Source organism: Homo sapiens, chromosome 12 (assembly GCF_000001405.40).
Source record: "Homo sapiens chromosome 12, GRCh38.p14 Primary Assembly".
Classification (NCBI taxonomy): domain Eukaryota; kingdom Metazoa; phylum Chordata; class Mammalia; order Primates; family Hominidae; genus Homo; species Homo sapiens.
The window spans coordinates 119,128,818-119,136,947 of NC_000012.12; the positions used below are offsets into that span (position 1 = coordinate 119,128,818).

Sequence of the window (8,130 nt, forward strand, 5' to 3'; positions counted from 1 at the left end):
GCAACTTACCTGTTAAATAAATGGTTAACATCACAAACACTACCCCGGGCCTCCTCTGCTGTCCCATCTCCTCCTGATGGTGTTGGCATCTGAGCTCCCAGTGCCTACTGAGCTGAGGAGCTTCCTAGCAGAAATGGAAGCAAACTGAGAGCTGGCACGCAGGTTACACATTCAGTAGAAACATGATTTTCAAGCCACAGAGCAGTCAGGGGCACTCCAGGGCATGAATCCCAGGCGCTAGTTCCTAGAGGGGCAAAAAACTGCCCTGGCCCTTGCTCTGCCACTTTCAGGCTGTTTGACCTCAGGAAGATCCCTAAACATCTCTGAGCTTCGGCTCCCTCATCTGTAAAATGGGAAAGTAATACCTTGCCCTGTCTATGTCTTCAAGTTGTAGGGAAAACTGTGAAACTGCTTCGAGAGGTGTATACATACCTTGCAAATCCATAATGTGCTATTTTTATTACTTTGGTGGCTCAGATAACTAATAAGATATGCAGAGTCTAAGCATGCCCTTTCTAAGAAGTCAGACATGCCTTTGGTTTTTACTGCAGACCAAGCAGCCAGATCTAGACGTGACAAACTTGCAGAAGGCATCTCTGTCATTTTTGTCAGCCATTTTTTTTTCACTAAAGTTTTGGGTGACAGTCAACAGGATGTCTTTATTTCACAGATGGCAAAGTCACATACACAAAGACACACAGTTATACACAGTTACATTTATAGACAAACACATGGAAACACAGATGGACACACCCAGACATACACATAGTCACATGACAGACAATCAGAGAGGTACACAAGTGACATTAAACTGAATAACTGAATCTGGATGGGGACCTTTTCTGTTTTTAAAGCTGCATCCTCAGACCCTAAAGCAGTTCCAGGTACATGAAGTAGTATTTGTCAAATGAACAAGTAAGAGAATGAATAAATAAAGGAATGAATAGATGGATGGATAGGTGGATGAATGGATGAATAGATTGTTGGTTAGGTAGATGGATGGATGAATGGCTGAATGGTTAGATGGATGAATGGATGAATGGTTAGTTGGACAAATGGATGGATGGATGGATGGATGGATGGATGGATGGATGGATGGATGGTTAGATGGTTAGTTGGATGGATGAACAGATGGAAGGAAGGACAGATGGATGGATGGATGGATGGATGGATGGATGGATGGATGGATGGATGAATGCATAGATGGTTGGCTGAGTGGTTGGTTGGTTAGTTGGATGGATAAACGGATGGATGGATGGTTGGATGATTGGATGGACGGATGAATAGATGAATAGTTAGATGGATGGATGGATGAGTGGATGAACGGATGGATGGATGGATAGATGAATGAATGGTTGGATGGGTGGATGATGGATAGATGGTTGCTTAGACAGATAGATGGATGGATGGATAGATGAATGAATGGATGATTGGGTGGATGGTTAGATGGCTGGATAGATGGTTGCTTAGACAGATGGATGGATGGATGGATGGTTAGATGGAGGGATGGATGGATACATGATTGGTTGGATTGATGGATGGATGATTGAGAGATGGCTAGTTAGATGGATGAATAGATGGTTGCTTAGACAGATGGATGGATGGATGGATGGATGGATGGATGGATGGTTAAATGGATGAATGGATGGTTAAATGGATGAATGAATAAATAAATGAATATACACACAGTCCAGCTTTCATACACACACATGCAGACATACCTAGGAACAATATCACATATGAACATATACAAACACCCCCAAACACACTTTATCATCCTCAGATCCTGTTGGTCCTGCATACATCTCCCTACCATGCTCCCCTTCAAAAGACCCTCAGGTCTCTCTCCCCCATCCCCAGGCACCGCGGCCGGTCCCCTGAGGAAGGGCAGAAGTCCCGCCGAAGGCACTCCCGCCGCTGCTCCAAGACCCTCTGCAAGGACAGCCCTGAGGCCCAGTCCAGTCGCCCGCCCAGTCAACCCCTCCAGATGCTTGGCTACCTGTCAGCCAGGGGTGTAGTAAGTATTCTTCACAGCCTCCTCTGCCAGCCTTGGCCACGACACTTGGGGAATGTGGAGGCACAAGTTCAGGGCAGTGTATGGTACACTTTAATTCAATTTCTGACAAAATATCCCACTGGCTCCAGACCTCATTAATGATGAACCAAATGATCATTCACCAGACTTTGGCAACACTGGCTTGGGGATTTTGGGGGGCAGGGGGAGAAAAACTAAATACCCAGTCTTTTTATCAGGGGAATGTTGACAAATAAATACCTGTCTCCAGAGTGATATCTGCAGGAAGACATGTTTAAGATACCATAGGAGGATTTTTTGTTTGTTTGTTTGTTTTTGGGAGAGAAAGGAAAAGAAGGGCTCTTTGACATAACAGAGGCACTCCAGCTTTTACATGAAGTCTGCATCTTTTATGCCAGCTGGCTGGCAGCATTGGTTGGCAGCTGGGATTTCATTTCACCTATAAACATGACCTTGAATTTATATGAGAATTTTCTTCCAAGGAGGTCATAGCTCTTGACCTACATCCTCTCATGTAGCCACACAAGGTCTTGGGAGTTGAGGGCACAGCTGTTCTCACTAGTCCCTTCTACAGATAGGAAAGAAGAATCAAGGCTCAGAGAGGTTAAGGGCTGGGGTAAAGCCCCAGAGCAAGGCAAGAGTTAATCCAATTTAGCAACCCAGCATTGAATAGAATTAAGCAGTGCTGCCCCAAGTCAACAAGGACAAGCTGGAATTTGACTTCATATAGTTTGACACCATGAGCAAGAGACTTAGAAATGGATCTGAATTCAGTCCTAGCTTGGCCACTTCCTAGCTGTGTGGCTTTGGGCAAATTACTTAATCTCCATTTTCTCATTGGTAAACTTGAAGTAAATACCACTTCCGTATGGAATTGTTGGGACTATCCAATAAGATAAAGTACGTGAAGGCCTTTTGTAGACTCTAAAGAGACAGACGAACAGGAAGAGAGTCAACATTGATAGGGTCTACAATTGCAGCAGGCAGCTGTGAAAGGGACTGTTTTCTCTAGCTACATGTGAACTTGAAAATTTCAGGTAGATGGTGCCTAAGGAAGGGTGAGGTGGAAGCAAGGAAAAGTTCAGGGGTGCTTGTGGGGATGTCAAGAAAGGGAAAGCAATGACAACGGTTGGGCCTGGTTGACACAATAATTATCTGCAGTGCATTCCAGGAATCTTCTTTACCAGTCAAGGCACCCAGCATAACCAAGGTCTAATTTTACCCAAATCCTCTGCCTACCTGGAACCATCTGCAACTGTCCCCAGACTCCTTCTTGGTAGAGATGTCTGTGGTTACTGAGTCCTTGCAGATGGCAAATGCCCATCTGCGTACTCTCTCTCTCACAAATATCCAAAAAGGGGTCTTCCCAGCAAGATAGAAAGTATAGAGGCCTAGATTTGAGTCTTGTTTTGGCTGGACTTGTCATTTTACCCCTCTCAACCTCAGCTTTCTCACCTGAGAAATGGGCATGATTATCCCGCTTGTCTCCCAGGAGGATTGTGGCAAAGGTAAAGATAAATTTGAAATATGAGCATTAAGAGGTAGAGGAATGTTTTTAAGTTAGTAAAGGATGCCTAATTGCTCTGGTCATGGTATTTGTGGTGGTCCATCTGGAGGTCCCAATTGACCCTAGCTAAAAAGTGCCATTGGAAGCAACTGGCTTATACATTCTTACATGTCTGGGATGGTTTTCCAACAAGATATGTCTGTCAAGATGTTACAAAAAGCTGGGTCTGTCCTCCCACACAAGCTGGGGAGGTTACCAGATTGGCTATTGGTAGTTTGCTTTCCTAAAACACATGGGTTCTTAATGGCTTTGAGGTGCAATGCCTCACTGTTCTTCATGAGCCTGGCCCTATCAGAAGAGCTAAAAACCAGGGTTCACCTGTACCTATAAGAGAGGCCTTAAGAGCTCAGCTAGCCTAATGCTCTGATTACTAAGAAAGGAAACTGAGATTCACAGAAAGGAAATGATTCACATGGGCCATGGCAAGGCAGAGTTATTTAAAAACATGGAATTATTAATTCGTGGTCACATCATGTCCCTGAGATAGTAGTAATTACTTAAATGTTTCTGAGCTGTACTTTCCTCATCTGTAAGAAATAATAATAAAATAATAATAATATAGATAATAACAGTCTCTTCTTCAGAAGGCAGCTGTTGAGCCCAGTACTTGATACAGGTGCAAAACTTGACAAATAATATGATGACAACATTCCAGATCCTGGCTCTGCACTTACCAGCTGTGACTCCTTGAGCAAGTTTCTGTGTCTCAGTTTCCTCAAAAACTGCAAAACAAGGATAGCAATAAGACCTACCTCATAAGATTGTTATGAGAATTCAATGACACAATGTAAGTAAAAGTTTTAGAGTATAACAGGCAAGAAGTAAATGCTGCATAATGCTTACTGCTTGTGATAGTAACAGCAGTAGAAGTAATAGTGGTGATAGCAGTGGTGATAGTAGTGGTGGTAATAGTAGTGGTGATAGTGGTAGCCACAATAGTAGTAGCAGTGGTAATAGCAGTGGTAGTAGTCATAGTAATAGTAGTATTGTTCCAGGCATAGGCTGGGCTGGGACTAGAGCCAAGACCCCTGCTTCCCAGACCAATTTCTTTCTATCCTAAATGGTAGCTGCAGCTCACATGGCTACTCTGCCCCACTTAAGGTTGCCTGGCTCCTGGAAGAATCACATGGCCCCAGATCTGGTTCTTTGAGTACTCCTCATGCATGGCCCTTTCTCGTCTTCTCTATTACAAAAGCAGAGATGGAAGAAGTTTCCAGATTGGATCAAAGGTTTTCCAAGGTTCCTAGCCCCAAGTTTTTCTCTCTGTTAAAGCTAACAGCAGAGTCATTTTCATTGAATCACCTGTCTGATCATTCATTTAAGTCTACAAACACCTATGGAGCATCTACAAAGGGTCAGGCTCTGACTTATCTCAGGATCCAATTACTAAGAAAGAAATAGCCTGTGCCTTCTAATGAAGCGAGACAGACAAGTTAAAAACAGTTAAAGGCAATGCACAACAATTGGTGCTCAGATGCTTATTTGGGGGTGCAAGGTTAGCAGACAGGGGAGGGGACTGGGATTAGGGTTAGGGTTGGGCAGAGAAGGTAACAATTACCTGAAAAGCTAAGGGTGAGCCAATGAAGGGGGAAAATAAAGACTAGAGTTGAGGGTTGAGATAAAATTCCATGGCAAGATATGGGCTCTGGAGGTAAAGAGGAGCCCAAGCATGAAGGATTTTCTATGCCATATTTGGTTACAGATATTTCACATGCACAGCTTTTTTAAAAACTCAAGGACAGTTGCATAATATCAAGGGGCTTATTTACATATATGAATATGCAAATTTGGGGGTTGGTTCTTAATGGAAATCTTAGTTGGTGAGCTAAAGCTAACCTGAGGCTCTCTTGCTTGGTCAGCACCCAAATCCAAATAGAAGATCCCAAGACAGTTTACCTCACACATGGTCCTTATCTTCACTCCACCATCTCTGTTCAAGGTACTGGGGAGGCAGAGAGATTGTAAAAAAAAAAAAAAAAGAAGAAAAGAAAAAAAAAAACACTCTTCCTGAACTCCAGGGGCTCACAGTCTAGTAGTCAGAAGAATGCTGCAATATAGTGTGATCATTTTGTAATCAGGGCTGGGATTGAGTCAGGAGCACCAGTACTTTCTCCAGTTGTTAAAATATTCAAATACTTTCATGCCAGTTGGTAAATAGGCCCTGTCATTACCTCACCCAACCCCAGTCAACCTAGCCATCCCTTCTCTCCCTTGGCACTTTCTGGATCTTCTCAAAATCCTGAAACAGAAAAGTGACACTTACTTCCCTTCAGCATCAAAGCCAGCTTCCTCTGTGGTGGGGCAGTACCCACAACGAACTAGTTATCGAATATTGTGAATGTCACTCCTGGCAGTGATGAAAGCAACTACAGTGTGTAATGGAAGCACAGAGTAAGGGCCAGACAATGTTGTCCTGATGTCTGAGAAGGCTTTACCAATAAAGGATCATTTGAGCTGGGCTTTGAAGGATGCATAGGAGTTCATTGGGTTGCAATTGTTGATGGACAGAAGGAGGGGAAAACACCACTATGTGTCAGGCACTGTCACATACTTTACATAATTTTTGCCTCATTTGGTACCTAAAACAGTTATTTGAAGTAGGTGCAATTATTATCACCATTTCGAAGATGGGAAAATAGGCCCTGTGAGGTGCTGGTACCTAGGAATGTAACAAAATTGGGAGAAAGGGGAACTGTTATGAGTTGTGGTTTGTGCCTTGAAAGCTTACCCTGATAGTTGGCATGGAGGGTGGGCTGGATGATGGGAAGGTGGATTGGATGATGGAGAGGCTCATGGCTCCAAGGATTAGCCAAGCCCTTTCCCTGTGATATGGGGCTCTCTATCAAGTCTATCATAACCAGAGAGGAATTCTAGAAGGAGGCTGATCAAGTCTGGAGCTGGGCCAAAGATAATGGCAGGTTTCTTGTTCCTCTTCTTGCCTCCAGCCTGGGCCAATAGTTGCTAATCCTTGTCAACAAAAACCTGTACAAATGTCGAAACCAAAAACAATAATAATAAAAGCAGAACTCGTAGTCCATAAAAGAGGATCTCATGAAATTTGTAAACTGGAAGAGGCAATATGATTAAGACATGAACTTTGGAATGGATCTGGGCACCCTGGAGTTCTTGATCTCTCCCTGTGAGACCCTAGGTGACAGCAATAACTAATGCCTGTTGAGCACCTGCCATGCACCAGGTGTTTACTGAGCACCTACTATGCACCAGGTGCTAGGCCAATTCTTTACATGTATCATCATCATTGCATTTAATTTTATAATAGCTTTTCAATGGAGCTTCCATGAATATGTCCACTTTATGATAAGGAAACCCAGCCAAGAAAAAATAAGTAAAAAGCAGCTATTCAACAGAGAAGCTAGGGTTTGAATCCAGGGAGTCTGACCTCAGAGTCCACATGTTTAATTACATGACCTCCTCTGTGCCATTTCACGTCTTTGGGCCTCATATCCTTATCTGTGCCTTGGGCTAATAATAATCATACCTACTTATAGGATTGTTATGAGGATAGAGTAAGATAAGGTATCCATTCATTTCAAAAATAAACACTAAGCATCTACTGTCCTGCCCTCATGTAGCTTATGCTCTGTGTGAAAAAAAGTATCCCAATGCTTGGGACATAACCCTCAAAGTATCCTAGTTGCCATAATATTTTTTGTCATCATAGCAGCTTTACTAAACTTATCCCAAATAAACCCAGATATGATGTTCTCGGAGTATCTTTAGCCTCAAAAAGCTGAATCCATCCAAGATCGCAGGTGAACTTCACAACAACCCCAGGAGAAAGGCGAGATGGGAATATGCTTCCCCCTTTGTAGATAGGGAAAATAGGGCTGAGGGAGAATCTGGATGGCTCAGGCCTTCTGACCCCTAGTCCAGGTGCTTGCACATTCTGCAAAGCCTTTGAGCTCTTGCTCAACTGGGAGACACAATATCCAACATTCAATACCATCATCATAGTTGAGAGAAGGGAGGAACCAAAGTACAGAAGGTGGATGAAATGAGATTTGGGGATTTTCTGGGCCATTGGTTTTTGTTTGTTTTGTTTTGTTTTGTTTTGTTTAATGGGAAGTGACATAGCATTGTCAACTTTTACTTTTGCCAAGGAAGAACAGAAAAAACCACCATTTTCTATCACTAAAGGGAGATTTTACCATCAGAAGAAGTAGGAAAGACACGACCTTGGAAGAAAAAAATGAGTCTTCAAATCGAAAGTATTTAGCAGGATGAAAAACTAATTACATTGAACTTATTTTTTCTTGTTTCAATTTGGGCTGGTGATAATGTATCTAACTGGGTCCCGGTGGGGATTTCTGAGAACAGGTGGGCAGGGGGTCCTCAGGAGAGGCTTCAAAGAAAGGGTGAGCCTGAAGCTGTCATTCCCTCTGGCTCCTGCTTAAGGAAAATAATAAGGAGGCCAGACCACCTCTGCCTACCAAAGGTTCAATGCAGTGCACAGCCCCATGGGATAGCCCCAGCCCTAAAGGACTTTGTTGTCTTCCCACAATGCCCG

General features: G+C 43.3%; 1 protein-coding gene across 1 annotated transcript in view; it reads left to right on the forward strand.

Annotated features, from left to right (window-relative positions):
- SRRM4 (serine/arginine repetitive matrix 4) overlaps positions 1 to 8,130 on the forward strand; it is a 181,511-nt gene that overhangs the window by 147,277 nt on the left and 26,104 nt on the right. The window contains exon 8 of the mRNA NM_194286.4: positions 1,861 to 2,017. Coding sequence (NP_919262.2) covers positions 1,861 to 2,017 — 157 coding nt within the window. The remainder of the gene's footprint in view (positions 1 to 1,860; positions 2,018 to 8,130) is intronic.